Source organism: Homo sapiens, chromosome 1 (assembly GCF_000001405.40).
Source record: "Homo sapiens chromosome 1, GRCh38.p14 Primary Assembly".
NCBI classification, from domain to species: domain Eukaryota; kingdom Metazoa; phylum Chordata; class Mammalia; order Primates; family Hominidae; genus Homo; species Homo sapiens.
In genome coordinates, this window is record NC_000001.11 from 35,195,424 (window position 1) to 35,211,535 (window position 16,112).

Genomic DNA, 16,112 nt, shown 5'->3' on the forward strand with positions numbered 1-16,112 from the left:
AAATCTTTAGTTCAAGCATGCCTCTTACTGATCATCCCTTTTCTTTCTGACTCACATAACATAGTAACCTCATGATTCCTTTCATTATTTTTTTTTTTTTGAGACGGAGTCTCGCTCTGTCACCCAGGCTGCAGTGCAGTGGTGCAATCTCGGCTCACTGCAACCTCCACCTCCCAGGTTCAAGCTATTCTGCTGCCTCAGCCTCCCGAGTAGCTGGGACTACAGGCACGTGCCATCACGCCCGGCTAATTTTTTTATTTTTAATAGAGGCGGGGGTTTCACCATATTGGCCAGGCTGGTCTTGAAATCCTGACCTCAGATGATCCACCCGCCTCAGCCTCCCAAAGTGCTAGGATTACGGATGTGAGCCACCATGCCCTGCCCCTCTCCTCATATTTCTTTGAGAATATAACAGTCATCGGAGAGGAACTTTCCAACCCAACTGGAAAAGCCATGAGCCTACTTAAATTTGCCTTGTCTTTTTAAATCTTTTTCCCTGATACCACGAAAAATGTGTCTTTGCCCTTATCAAAGGGCAAACCCATGGCTGGTCTGAGTGCGGCGGTGTTTACAACTAATTGATCACAACCAGTTACAGATTTATTTGTTCCTTCTCCATTCCCACTTGACTGGCACTATTTAAAAAAAAAAAAAAAGCAAATCCTCTTCTTGTGCTATGGATTCCATCTACACAAGCCTTCACCAGAATTTTTCTTTAGTCTATCAATTACTTCTATTGAATCATCACCATCCCGTTTCTTTTATGCTATCTCATCTTTGCTCCTTTTTGTAACAAAACTTTTTTTTTTTTTTTTTTTGCGACAGAGTCTCACTCTGTCTCAAAAAATCCTGGCTGGAGTGCAGTGGCATCAGCTTGCCTCACTGCAACCTCCGCCTCCTGGGTTCAAGTGATTCTCCTGCCTCAGCCTCCTGAATAGATGGGACCACAGGCACGTGCCACCATGCCTGGCTAATTTTTGTATTTTTAGTAGAAATAGGGTTTCATCGTATGGCCAGGCTGGTCTCAAACTCCTGACCTCATGATCCGCCTGCCTCAGCATCCCAAAGTGCTGGGATTACAGGCATAAGCCACCACGCCTGGCTTTTTTTTTTTTTTTTTTTTTTGAGACGGAGCCTTGCTCTATACCCCAGGCTGGAGTGCAGTGGCCGATCTTGGCTCACTGCAACTTCTGCCTTTTGGGTTCAAGCGATTCTCCTACTTCAGCCTCCTGAGTAGCTGGGATTACAGGCATGTGCCACCATACCCAGCTAATTTTTTTTTTGTATTTTTAACAGAGACAGGGTTTTGCTATGTTGGCCTGGCTGGTCTCAAACTCCTGGCCTCAAGTGATCCACCCGCCTAAGCCTCCTGAAGTGCTAGGGTTATGGGGGTGAGCCACCGCACCCGGCCATGTTTGTAACAACACTTTTAAAACAAGTTGTCTACACTCACAGTCTCCATTTCCTCACTTCTCTTTCCTCTTCAATCCACCCCAGTCTGTCCACACTACTCCTCCTAAACTGTTGGGGAGGATACCAATGATTTCCATGTTGCCAAATCCAGTAAACACTTATCTATAGTCATCTTTTTTTTACCTGTTAGCAACATTCAACATATATAGTAATCTGTCTTTTTTGAAGCACTTTTTCTTCACTGGCATTCTGTGACACCACACTCAGGATTTTTCTCTTCCTGCCTCACTGATCATCCCATTTCCTCCTTGTAGGACCTCCAAACATTGAAATATTTTAGGACTCAGTTCTCGCCGGGCGCAGTGGCTCACGCCTGTAATCCCACTACTTTGGGAGGCCGAGGCAGGCGGATCACGAGGTCAGGAGATCGAGACCTTCCTGGCCAACACGGTGAAACCTCGTCTCTACTAAAAATACAAAAACTTAGCCAGACGTGATGGCGGGCGCTTGTAGTCCCAGGTACTTGGGAGGCTGAGGCAGAAGAATGACGTGAACCTGGGAGGCGGAGCTTGCAGAGCCGAGATCGCGCCACTGCACTCCAGCCTGGGCGACAGAGCGAGATTCCGTCTCAAAAAAAAAAAAAAAAAAGGACCCAGTTCTGAGATATCCAGCTGTTTATTAGACATAGCCGCCTGGAGACTACTTAGTTGATGTATCAGATTTTTTTTTTTTTTTTTTTTGAGACGGAGTCTCACCCTGTCGCCCAGGCTGGAATGCAGTGGCGTGATCTCCGCTCACTGAAACCTCCACCTCATGGGTTCAAGTGATTCTCCTGCCTCAGCCTCCCGAGTAGCTGGGACTACAGGCACGTGCCACCACGCTAATTTTTTTTTTTTTTTAATAGAGACGGGTTTTTGCCGTGTCGGCTAGGCTGGTCTCAAACTCCTGACCTCGAACAGCCTCCCAAAGTGCTGGAATTACAGGCATGAGCCACAGCATGCAGCCTGTTTCTTCACTTGTCTATTGTCTGTCTCCTCTGTTGGACTGAAACTCTGAGTTCTTTAAGGCTGTATCACTGGCACCTAAAACAGACACTAGCACAGAGATAATAAACATTTGTTGAGTGAATGAATAAATAAAAGCATAATGGTGAAGAACAGGCTGTTTCCATCTGAGCAGGGTATTGTTCCAAGATCTTTCACTTTTCTGACACACTTGCTTTTTGGGGACATTGTAAGGATTGTGTGAAATGTTTAGTACTTTCTAAGTGCTCAGTAAAGCCAGGTGCACTGGTTTGAGCCTGTAATTGAGCTCCTGGTCTCGAACTCCTGACCTCAAGTGATCCTCCCACCTCACCCTCCCAAAGTGTTGGGAATACAGGCATGAGCCACTACGTCTGACCGATATATCAGATTTAATATGTCCAACTTGGAGCTATTGATTTTATCAACTGAACCTATTCCTTCCCTCAAACTCTCCCAGCATAGTAAATAGTACCACCTGGTTGTTCAAAACAAAAACCTAGAATTGGTCCTCTTTATAAAAATCCAAAGATTGGTTCTACCTCCAAAGTATATCTTGAATCCTCCCCCTCTACCACTACATCCTAATCTTCTCCATCTCTATGTCTCACGTAAAGTCCTGCAACCACTAATATTTCGGTCTTCTGATCCATTCTTCACATGGCAGCTAGAGTGTTATTTGTTTATTTATCTATTTATTTTTTCTTTTTGAGATGGAGTCTCACTCTGTCACCTAGGCTGGAGTGCAATAGAGCGATCTCAGCTCACTCAAAAAAAAAAAATCAAATAATGTAATTTGTTTCCCCTATTTAAAGGCCCTCAATGGCTTCCCATTGTTGTTAGAATAAAATCCAAATACCTTAGCAAGGTCTACACGTCCTGACTTGGTCTGACCCCTGCCTGCCTTCCCAGTCTTACCTCCCTAATTCCCTACTCTATTTGCACTAAGCCCTAGCTATTTTTTTTTTTTTTTTTTTTTTTTTTTTTTTTTTTTTTTCTGAGATGGAGTCTCACTCTGTCGCCCAGGCTGGAGTGCAGTGGCACGACCTCGGTTCACTGCAAGCTCCGCCTCCCGGGTTCACGCCATTCTCCTGCCTCAGCCTCACAAGTAGCTGGGACTACAGGTACCCACCAGCACGCCCAGCTAATTTTTTGTATTTTTAGTAGAAACAGGGTTTCACCGCGTTAGCCAGGATGGACTTGATCTCCTGACCTTGTGATCTGCCCGCCTCGGCCTCCCAAAGTGCTGGGATTACAGGCGTGAGCCACCGGCGCTAGCTATTCTTAAGATTTATCAAGTTACTTTACCTGTATGTTTTGCCTCAGGGCATTTGCACTTGCTCTTTACTCAGCCTGCAGTGTTCTCCCCACTCGCCCCGCCCCGGCTCTTTGCACAGATATCTTTTCTTAATCTTTTTTTTTCCTTCGCTGCTTTATGGAATGATCTCTTCATCCTTCTATCTGAGCTTGAAAATCACCTCAGAGAAGTCTTCTGTGCTCATCATCACATCCAAAGTAGGCTCCTCCTCTCTGTTATAACATCCTGTATGTAATATACATTATAGCTGTCTTCACAACTTGTGTTTTCTTGTTTATTTCTTTTTTCTCTTTCTTTTTTCTTTTTTTTCTTTTTTTTTTTTTTTTTTTTTTGAGACAGATTCTCACTGTGTCACCCAGGCTGGAGTGCAGTGGCACGATCTTGGCTCACACACCCAGCTAATTTTTGTATTTTTAGTGGAAATGGGATTTCACCATGTTGGCCAGGCTGATCTCAAACTCCTGACCTTAAGTGACCTGCCAGCCTCAGCCTCCCAAAGTGCTGGAATTACAGGCATGAGCCACCGCATGCAGCCTATTTCTTCATTTGTCCATTGTCTGTCTCCTCTGTTGGACTGAAACTCTGACTTCTTTAAGGCTGTATCACTGGCACCTAAAACAGACACTAGCACAGAAATAAACATTTGTTGAGTGAATGAATAAATAAAAGCATAATGGTGAAGAACAGGCTGTTTCCATCTGAGCAGGGTATTGTCCCAAGATCTTTCACTTTTCTGACACACTTGCTTTTTGGGGACATTGTGAGGATCGTGTGAAGTGTTTAGTACTTTCTAAGTGCTCAGTAAAGCCAGGTGCACTGGTTTGAGCCTGTAATCCCAGCTATTCAAAAGGCTGAGACAGGAGGACCACTTCAGGCCAGGAGTTTGAGACCAGCCTGGGCAACATAGCAAGACCCCATATCTAAAAAAGTAATAAGAAGAAGTTATCTGGGCGTGGTGGCAGGTGCCTGTAGTCCTAGCTACTTGGGAGACTGAAGTGGAGGGATCTCTTGAAGCCAGGACCCAGGAGTTGGAGGTTGCAGTGAGTTGTGATGGTGCCACTAAACTCTATCCTGGGTGACAGAGCAAGATTCTGTCTCTAAATAAAAGTTAAAAGTTTGGTATGTGTACCAAAAGAGTAATTATTTAATACTGTGAGTAATATCTACTTCAAATAATAGCCAGTATCAAAATAGCCAAAATCAACTGATCATTTAGTTTATGCCATACAATGTAGTAAATACTTAATATTGAATTGTGTTTTTGTTTTTGGTATTGTTTTGTTTTGTTTTGTTTTGTTGAGATGGAGTCTTGCTCTGTCGCCCAGGCTGGAGTGCAGTATTGCGATCTTGGCTCACTGCAACCTCCGCCTCCTGGGTTCAAGCAATTCTCCTGCCTCAGCCTCCCAAGTACCTGGGACTACAGGTACCTACCACCAGGCCCACCTAATTTTTGTATTTTTAGTAGAGACAGGGTTTCATCATGTTGGCCAGGCTGGTCTCGAACTCCTGACATCAGGTGATCCACCCACCTTGGCCTCCCAAAGTGCTGGGATTATAGCCGTGAGCCACTGTACTCGGCCTTAATATTGAATTCTTATTACAACTCTGAGATTTATAGTATTATTTGCTCATCTTTCAGATTAAAAAACCACCATTACTGTAATCCAAGGTAACATTATTCTTTCTCTCTCTTTTTTATTTCTTGAGAGGTGGAGTCTCATTATGTTGCCCAGGCTGGTCTCAAACTTCTGTGCTCAAGTGATCCTCCCACCTCAGCCTCCTGAGTCTACAGGCACAGGTCACTATGCCCAGCCAAGCTAACGTTGTTTTATTACATCCAGGATACACACTGGAAACTAACAATGTAACATGATTTCTCACCTAGACTTCTGCAAAAGCTTTCTGACTGGTCATCCCAATTGCCTTCCTCCTTCCTATTTTCCAGGCAGCAAGCAAATTATCATTTTTAAAGGCAAATCTGATGCTTCAGTTCCCCTCTTTTAAATTCCTTATTGTCTTCCTATTGCCCTTAGGAGAAAAAACAACCTCCTTAACTCCTATGATGTCCCTCCATTCCCTGGCCATCGCATTCCTCCCCAGCCTCATCCCTGACTCCTGAATTCTTTGCTGTAGTCACACTGACTGCCTTTAGTTCTTTTAACTTCTCACGTTCTCACCTGAAATAGTATCTTCCTGGTCACCGTCTCCCTCCTTTATGGTTAGCTCTTATCCATCTTTCAGGACTTGACTTACACTTGCCCTTCTCTGGAGGCCTTCTGTGACCCCAAGGACCAAGTTGCTGCATTTCATTAGCATCCTGTACTTTCACTCCTATAGTATTCATCCCACTTTATTATAGAGACTTGCAAAATTGTACACTTTAGCCTGTAAGATCATGAGGACAATGACTGAGATTCTCTTTTAAGCACCAAATCCTCAGGGCCTAGTGCTGTGATACTCTATATTTGAACAAATGAATAAGTGAATGAGCCCATTAATCTTTCCTTTTCTGAACCATTGAAGAATGTCCTCAACATAAATGACAAATTTCAGATATTAAACACAACTCTGTAGTTCACATCTGTGGTCAATTATCATGCCTGAATAATATGTAGAACAATCTTTACCTTGTAATACTCTGAATGTGGGTGAACTTACAGTTCAAACACTATAATTACAATAAAATGAAAATTATAATTATCCTCTTGTTTGAGTATTTATAAGGCCTAGAAGGGTAGGGGATGGAAATAATATGCTTGATGAAACACGCTGCCGCTCTCTAATGAATATTAATTCAATTGACTAAATTTACATCTTCAGCTGTCCCCCAGGGCTTGAGAAACCATGTTGGTCAGCAGGTGTTAATTTAGCTTCGTAGTTCTCTTTTCCAACTTTGAAGAGGCTATTCAGTTTTCAGATCTATCAGCGCTTGTCTCTGAGGCTTCATGCACACAATAGAGAGCTCAAATTATTTTGCTGGGGGCAGAAAAGGAGAGCTAAAAGAAGGACATCTAAGCTCCTCAAATGCACACTGCCTCCCCCAAGGAAGTGGCTCTTAGATGAGCCCAACTGGCAAACTCTAACCGTGCAGTAAAACCCTCACCACTAGGTGTCTCAGTGGCTGTGCCACTTCCTCCATCTCCTTGGAAAGCAAATAGCGGCATACACTCCATTACTCTATTGTTATTGAGCCTCCAAGCAAAGAACCTTTTGGAAGGGTTGATTTCAATACCTGGGTAAATTTTCCAGTAGATCTAATCAGTATCTAGATTGCCTCTCTTAATGAGAGAAACATTGGATTAACTGCAGTGTCTTCCTCTGTTACTGCCTTCCTTTATTTAGGGAAAACGTGCTCTGTTTGTAGTACCTTTATTTATTTAATTATTTCTCCATCTAATTTATTTCTTTATTGTGTTGGGGGATGGGGAGAGGTCTTCCTTAGTCATGATGAGCGACCCCATATTCATCACCTGTCACCCCCACACTGAACTAAATATCTTTCCAGGTTTTTTCCACACAGTTACTTTAGTCTTGAAGGCATTTATTTTCAGCTGCCCCTAAGTTTACCACTTGAACTGATTTTAAAGGTAAAAAAAAAAAAAATGGAGTTTAAAGACTCATCAAATGGAGGAAGATAGCTCAGAGGTAGGTATAAATTTTTACCATAAGTGTACTTCAGAAATTAATGAGAAAGGAAAGAAATATTCAACAAATGGTATTAGAGTATTTAATTTGCTATATATGTATATATATGTATATATATGTATATATGTATATATATGTATATATGTATATATATGTATATATGTATATATGTATATATGTATATATATGTGTATATATATGTATATATGTATATATATATAATCAAACTGATTCTAGATGGATAAAAGAAATATGTGTATTTTTTAAACAAACCCAGAAAGAATGAGAAGAAAATAGAAGTGAATATCAGATCTTTGTCAGGAAGGGCAATTTTTAAGATTTACTCTGATAGAATAAATCACAAAACAAAATATTAGTAAATTTCCCTGCATGAAGATTAGAAACCACCAGGTTAAAAACCAAGACGATAATAAAAATTAAAAGTTAAATTGAAAAAATAATTGCAAGAAAAAATTATAATAAGTGGTTAATATCTTTCCTATGTAAAGGATGTGTACAATTTTATAAGAAAAATAATCAAGATCCCAATTAATAGCCAAAATAAATGAACTAACACATGGAAAATATTCATCCTCTGATGATAATTACAGAACTAGAAATAAAAATGAGAGACTATTTTTCATCTAAGTTAACACAAATTTAAACAGCCACTACTGACATAATTCTTTTGAAAAATAATTTGGCAAATTCATTTTCTCCCTCTCTCTCTCCTTTTCCCTCCCCCTCTCCCTCCCTCTCTGCATCCTCCCCGCTTTCATTCATTCATTTATTTAACAAATACCCTCTGTGTGCCTGCCAGGTGCTGGAATCTAGCCTAAATTCTAAATACAGAAAAATTTTATGTATAAATTTGTTCATCTCCACATGATTACTAATAGCATTAAATCAAAAACATCCTACATTGTCTACATTGTCATCCAGAGGCAAGGTCTTCTTTTGCTTAAGACAATCTTAGTTTATGTTTGATATCCCAGTATAATTAATAAATAGTGCCCCCCCCCCCCCCCACTAAGACAGCTTTCTGGCTGATAGCAGTCAAGTATCTTGAGGAAGGGCCAGTTTTTCTAATTTGTACAAAAGCACCATTGGGATTAGCCACTGTCCATTAAGTTACTAAGGTTGGATGATTTCTGGTTTCCTATTTTTCTGCAATTTCTAGATTTTCTAAAATGGATTTTACGTGTGTGGGCTTTACGTGCATTAACTCATTTAATTTTCACAACCCCGTAATTATTTATTTTTCTTATTTCACCCCCTTTTTTTAAGATAAGGGATTAAGTCACCGAGAGTCACATAGTTATGAAGTGATAGAACCAAGATTTACACCTGCATAGTCCATATCCAGACCTTTAAACAGCAAGTTATCCTGTCCATAGGGATAACTATATCCAGTTGGACTTCTTATTCATTTATGGGGGGATAAAGATTACCTATGCTCACAAATGTTATTTGGAAAGTACATACAAATAGTAGCCCCAAAATGTGTCTATCTCTTACAAACAAAATATGTTCTCTTAAGTCCACTAATTATAAATACATTGTAAATACAGTAATTGAAAATAAAATGCAAGAATTCATTAACAAATAAAATGGAAGAATCCCAAATACCCAATTATGAATTATCTTTTTGATGTATAGTTATATCTGTTTAAATTTCTTTTTATTGGCCAGGCGTGGTGGCTCATGCCTGTAATCCCAGCATTTTGGGAGGTGGATCACTTGAGGTCAGGAGTCCAAGACCAGCCTGGCCAACATGGTGAAACCTCGTCTCTACTAAAAATTTAAAAAAACAGCCAGGTGTGGTGGCGCACGCCTGTAATCACAGCTACTTGGGAGGCTGAGGAGGAGAATTGTTTGAACCTGGGAGGCAGAGGTTACAGTGAGCTGAGATCCAGCCACCGCACTCCAGCCTGGGGAACACAGCGGGACTCTATCTCAAAAAAATAAATTAATAAAAACTTATTTATATTTATTTTTTTATTTATTTATTTCACTCTGGGCTCATTTCTCGATCTGTTTAAATTTCAACATATGAGGCTGGGCGCAGTGGCTCATTCCTGTAATACCAGCACTTTGGGAGGCTGAGGTGGGCGGATCACCTGAGGTCAGGAGTTGCAGACCAGCCTGGCCAACATGGTGAAACCCTGTCTCTACTAAAAATACAAAAATGAGCTGGGTATGTGGCACAGGCCTGTAATCCCAACTATTCAGGAGGCTGAGGCAGGAGAATCTCTTGAGCCCAGGAGGCAGAGATTGCAGTGAGCTGAGATCGTGCCACTGTACTCCAGCCTGGGTGACAGATCATGGCTCATTACAACCTCTGCCTGCCAGGTTCAAGCGATTCTCCTGCCTCAGTCTCCTGAGTAGCTGGAACTACAGGCGTGTGCCACCATGCCCTGCTGATTTTTTGTATTTTTAGTAGAGACAGCGTTTCACCATGTTGGCCAGGCTGGTCTCAAATTCCTGACCTCAGGTGATCCACCCGCCTTGGTCTCCCAAAGTGCTGGGATTACAGGCGTGAGCCACCATGCTTGGGCCACATACCACTTTTAAATGGATTGATGGAAAAATAATATTTTTTGTAGGTCATGTGTGGTGGCTCATGCCTGTAATCCTAGCACTTTGGGAGGCTGAAGCAGGTGGATCGCTTGAAGCCAGTTCAAGACCAACCTGGGCAACATGGCGAAACCCCTATCTCTACAAAAAATACAAAATTTAACCGAGAGTCATGGCATGTGCCTGTAGTCCCAGCTACTGGGGAGGCTGAGGTGGGAGGCTTGCTTTAAGACAGGAGAGCCCCCTGGACCACTTCACAGGACTTGCAACAGGAGTGTGGCTCACTTACTCGGCTGCCATCCTGAAACCCTTTGTGGGAGGGGGAGCATGCAGGCAAGTGGGTGCTGGGGCTCTGACGAGAGCTTTTGGGCTCCATCTCCATGGTAGCATCTAAGGGTATGCTACAATTAATGTTCTTTTAGCAGTTTCTGTCTGCAGACAGCTAAGTGTTAACCAGCTCAGTGGAGAGTCAGGGTGACAGCCTTTTACACCTTTCCTTCTTGGTACCCAGGTCCTTTTCTGGTGCCCAAGAAGAATCTGGCCACATGGACTTGAAGGATGGTGAATGTGGAGGTTTCATTGAGTGATAGAGGTGGCTGTCAGTGGGACAGGGAGCTAGAAAGGGTGTGGAGTGGGAAAATAATCTTCCCCTGGATTTCAGCCATCCCCAGCTGACCTCCTTTCTGATAGTCCAGCTGTCTCTTCAACATTCAGACGCTTCTTCTCTTCTCTCCTTCTCTGCCATGCTACTCTGCTCCTCTGCCAGTGGAGTTTGGGGTTTTTATGCATACAGGATGGTGGGCATGGCAAGCCAGGGTGGTTTTGGAAAAAGCAACGTGTGGGTGGGAAAAGAGAGATGTAAAGCTCTTATTTAGGGCTGCAGCCCCAGGCTTGTGGGTGGGGCTTTTGCGGGGAACCACCCTCTTCTACCCAGTATTTCCCTGCCTCTGGTCCATATCAACATGACCCCAAGAGGTTGAGGCTGCAGTGAGCCAAGATCACACCACTGCACTCCAGCCTGGGTAACACAGTGAGACCCTGTCTCAAAATACACACACACACACACACACACATACACACACACATATATATACATACACACAAATATATATATAGATGTTTTTGTTACATGATTTATTGAAATTAAACATGTATCACTAATTAAATGGGCAAGTGTAAAAAATTACAGTTTATGAGTGTTATTAAAGATTTATAAATACAGGCCAGGCACAGTGGCTTGCGTCTGTAATCCTAGCACTTTGGAAGGCAGAGGTGGGCAGATTAACTGAGGTCAGGAGTTCAAGACCATTCTGGCCAACATGGTGAAACCCCGTCTCTACTAAAAATACAAGAGTTAGCCAGGCGTGGTGGTGCATGCCTGTAATCCCAGCGACTTGGGAGGCTGAGGCAAAAGAACTGCTTGATCCCGGGAGGCGGAAGTTGCAGTGAGCTGAGATGGCACCACTGCACTCCAGCCTGGGTGATAAAGCAAAACTCTAGTTCAAAAAAAAAAAAAAGGCCAGGTGCCGTGGCTCACGCCTGTAATACCAGCACTTTGGGAAGCCAAGGTGGGCGGATCATGAGGTCAGGAGATCGAGACCATCCTGGCTAACACGGTGAGACCCCGTCTCTACTAAAAACACACAAAAAATTAGCCAGGCGTGGTGGCGGGCACCTGTAGTTCCAGCTACTCGGGAGGCTGAAGCAGGAGAATGGCATGAACCAGGGAGGCGGAGCTTGCAGTGAGCCAAGATCATGCCACTGCACTCCAGCTTGGACGACAGAGCGAGACTCCGTCTCAAAAAAAAAAAAAACTAATAAAAAAAGAAGTTTTTTTGTTTTTGTTTTTGTTTTTTTGAGGCGGAGTCTCGCTCTGTCGCCAAGCTGGAGTGCAGTGGCCCCATCTCAGCTCACTGCAACCTCTGCCTCCCGGGTTCAAGCAATTCTCCTGCCTCAGCCTCCCGAGTAGCTGGGACTACAGGCACACACCACCACGTTTGGCTAATTTTTTTTTTTTTTTTTTTGCATTTTAGTAGATACAGGGTTTCACCATGTTGCCCAGGCTGGTCTCGAGCTCCTGAGCTCGGGCAATCTGACCACCTCGGCCTCCCAAAGTGCTAGGATAACAGGCGTGAACCACCACGTCTGGCAAAGAAAAGAAAAAAGCTTTATAAATACAACTGTATAATGTTGCCTTTAACTATATGCTAATCTAAAATAAATTATTTTGGTTGGGTGTGGTGGCTCATGCCTGTAAATAAAATAAAATAAGAAAATAAAATAAAATAAGAAAATAAAATAAACTTTTGGCCGGGTGTGGTGCCTCACGCCTGTAGTCCCAGCTATTCGGAAGGCTGAGGCAGGAGAATTGCTTGAACCCGGGAGGCAGAGGTTGCAGTGAGCCAAGATCATGCCACTGCACTCCAGCCTGGGCAACAGAGTGAGACTCTGTGCCAAATAAATAAATAAGATAAAATAAAATAAAATAAAATAAACTTGTAATTAGCTGGGCATGGTGGCAGGCGCCTGTAATCCCAGCACTTTGGGAGCCTGAGGCAGGTGGATCACCTGATGTCAGGAGTTCAAGACCATCCTGGCCAACACGGTGAAACCCCGTCTCTACAAAAATACACAAATTAGCCGGGCATGATGGTGAGTGCCTGTAATCCCAGCTACTCAGGAGGCTGAGGTGGGAGAATCGCTTGAACCCAGGAGGTGGAGGTTGCAATGAGCTGAGATCATGCCACTGCACTCCTGCCTGGGTGACAGAGCAAGACTCCATCTCAAAAAAAAAAAAAAAAAAAAAAAAAAAAATATATATATATATATATATATATATATATATATATACACAATACATATATATATCACTCATGCCATGCTTCCGTTGGGTTCTTCTCTGCTTAAGCAGGTGAGACTATATATATAAAACATAAAAATACATATATTATATATAAAAATATATGTATTGTATATGTATAATATATATGTATATATGTATAATATATAATATATAATAATACATGTTATATAGATAGATAGATAGACAGATATAATCTCACCTGCTTAAGCAGAGAAGAACACAATGGAAGCATGGCATGAGTGATATTTCCTGAGAAGACAAGGAAACAATCTGGAAGGTCAGGGCCAAGCAGGCAAAATCACCTAGTCTGGTTGGTTTTTGGCAGGCATTCTGTGCACTGCAGGGGAGTGTTTGGGGCAAGCAGGATTAGCTTTCAATATTCTTCAGACCACAAAGGGGATAAGACACTGTGGTGGAAGCCAGGTTGGACACTGGCACTGCAGTAAACACAGTAAAAGAGCCTCGTCTCACCTGCTTCCCCCCAGACAGGCCCAGACTGAGGACTTAGCTCCAGGCTTACTGCCACTCTTCAAGGCTCTCATTATTATTGAATAACCTACCTTGGGCTCCATGAGCACCTTACTAACACAGGGGGCATGCCTATAAATCCTTTTGCCATCCTTCATTGCCCTATTCAGGATCAAGGTTGTGAGGATTAAGTGAAATAATGCATATTTAGTAAAATGCCCGCCAAGAAATGTCAGCTATTTTTTCTTCAGCACCTCCATGCTCATGTGACCAGGAATGCAGTGGGCATGGGTTGATTAAAGGCCGCCTTCCTGGGACTTCCTTGGGCAGAGCCCATAATTTCTCCTTTGGGCTCCTAAATCTCCTGTTCTTTGTTTGTCACTATACTTACCACTCTACATTCTGTTTCAATTGTCTGCTTACTTGTGTGTTTCCTCCACATGGTTGTGAGTTCTCTGAAGGCAGAGATCACGTTTATCTTTTTTTTTTTTTTTTTTTTGAGATGGAGTCTCGCTCTGTTGCCCAGGCTGGAGTGCAGTGGCACCATCTCGGCTCACTGCAACCTCTGCCTCTCGGGTTCAAGCGATTTCCTGCTTCAGCCTCCCGAGTAGCTGGGATTACAGATGCCTGCTACTGCACCTGGCTAATTTTTGTATTTTTAGTAGAGATGAGGTTTCACCATGTTGGTCAGGCTGGTCTCGAACTACTGACCTCAAGAGATCCACCCATCTCAGCCTCCCAAAGTGCTGGGATTACAGGTGTGAGCCACCATGCTCAGCCCGGGATCACGTTTTTCATCTGTGAATTCATATCTTAGGTGCTTGATGAATGTTTCATGACTGTTAAATAAAGTGAAGTATGTTGAAAAAAGTGTGCATTTTAGAGTCTTTTTTATTTTCTTTTCTGGTGACTTTTTTTTTTTTTTTTTTGAGACAGAGTCTCACTCTGTGGCCCAGGCTGGAGTGCAATGGTGCAATCTTGGCTCGCTGCAATCTCAGCCTCCTGAGTAGCTGGGACTACAGGTGCATGCCACCATGTCCAGCTAAGTTTTGTATTTTTTGTAGAGACAGGGTTTCACCATGTTGCCTAGGCTGATCTCAAACTCCTGAGCTCAAGCGATCCACCAGCCTCAGCCTCCCAAAGTGCTGGGATGACAGGTGTGACCCACCACACCTGGCTGCATTTTAGAATCTTTATAGGCCTGGATTTGAATCCCAGCCTCATCATTATAGCTGTGTAACCATAGTAAGTTGCTTCTCTCAGAGTTTCGTCACCTAAAAACGGGGGCAATCATGACTCCCTTGTGGCATTGTTGTGAGGATTAACAAGGATAGAATAAGAAAACATGTATCCCCAGGACCTGGCCAATTTTAGGTGCTCAGTAAATGTGTTCCTTTCTAATAAGCAAAAGAGATGGAAACACAAATCTGGAGGCTGAGTTTCCTTCACTTGTAAAATTCTCATGGAGTCAGAATACATGAGGTCAATGTAAAGTACTCTGATGTCTTTGGCTAAGCAATGGTGCATTAGTTGAAGGGAAAGTCGTGTGTTTTGTTCCTGTGCTTAATGAAGCCCTCTCTGATAGTCTGACCTTACGGATGTAAATACATTCTCCTTGGAGTTCATTCAAGGAATGCCACTCACAGGAGGGAGGGCCCAGGGAGGGAGTCATCAGGGAGGCCTGGGGCCAATCCCCCACCCCAGGCAGCTGCATTTTTTCCCAGTCCTCTATGTGGACACCAATAGACCCTGCTAAGTGCATCCTCCTCCTCCCCCCGGAGCTTCTTATGAGCCACCCCAACAAGACCAAGCCTGGAAACAGGACTCAGGATTCACCAGGCCTGGCGGATGGCTGACAGCAAGGGCTGAGTCTGACAGAGGAGACTGTCTTTTAAACAGACACACATCTGAGGCAGAGAGTGAAAGATGATGAGAAGGAGAAAGAAACCAGAAGGGTAAGTGGAGAGATTTTCCTACGAACGCCGATGTAAGCCAGATTCTGAGGTTGCCAGTACCTCCTCTGCAGTCCGGCATCGCCCACCTTGCAGCCCTCCCCCACTGCCTTTGTACTGCGTGCTGAATTTAGACCACAAGCCACGTGCCTGCTGCCTCTTCAGAGCCCACCTGGGAGTGAGGATCTGATGCTTCTGCAGCAGCCCGGTAATCCACTGCACAAAGTTAAACAGCCTGCGCCCTCTCTTCTCTGCAGCTGGCCTCCATTATCTGGAGTTAATGGCCAAAACTATGAACAGCATATTCATAACGCTGGATTAAATCCCGCAGCAACCCCTTTGGGCCATCATTTCAGCACCCGTCCACCACCGGCCACTGCCTTCTTTCCAAATGCCTTCCCACTGTTGCCTACTCTGGGGAGAATGGCCTCTTTTACTCCCTCTGTCTCCCCCGAGTTAACAAGTTTTTTTCAGAAAATTACCTCAGCCTCACAAGTCTGAAATCCTTGATTCTGAAAAAAGCTCAAAACCCTTATTTCTAAAACTTTAGCACCTCCCACCTCTTTTCTTGGGATCTCTTATCCAACTCTGTAAGAAAATTCCCCTATGCTATTTTCTCATGCTCTCAACATTCTCAAGGAATTGCCTACCTCCAGATGTCTGAAACCAGTTTCTTGGTCATGAAAGAAAAAATAAATAAATAACAAAAAACATGTCAGGCAATAAAAACAAATTTACTCTTGAGAGGCAATATAGCGTAGCTATTAAGAAGGACAGAGACTCTAAGGCCAGGCAGGATGGCACATGTCTGTAATCCCAGTGCTTTGGGAGGCTGAGGCTGGGGGATTGCTTGA

At 43.3% G+C, this 16,112-nt stretch overlaps 3 annotated features.

The window, feature by feature from the left end:
- Positions 6,624–6,803: an enhancer, noted in NCBI's record as "active region_725". NCBI's record gives its function as "activates an Ori minimal core promoter by ATAC-STARR-seq in GM12878 lymphoblastoid cells {active_cell/tissue: GM12878}" and the evidence as "EXISTENCE:reporter gene assay evidence [ECO:0000049][PMID:35858748]".
- Positions 14,865–15,159: a silencer, noted in NCBI's record as "tiled region #666; K562 Repressive non-DNase unmatched - State 23:Low". NCBI's record gives its function as "represses a minimal TATA promoter and a strong SV40 promoter by Sharpr-MPRA in K562 cells {active_cell/tissue: K562}" and the evidence as "EXISTENCE:reporter gene assay evidence [ECO:0000049][PMID:27701403]".
- Positions 15,227–15,894: an enhancer, noted in NCBI's record as "H3K27ac-H3K4me1 hESC enhancer chr1:35676251-35676918 (GRCh37/hg19 assembly coordinates)". NCBI's record gives its function as "activates a minimal SCP1, AML or CMV promoter by ChIP-STARR-seq in naive H9 embryonic stem cells {active_cell/tissue: H9 hESC(naive)}" and the evidence as "EXISTENCE:reporter gene assay evidence [ECO:0000049][PMID:30033119]".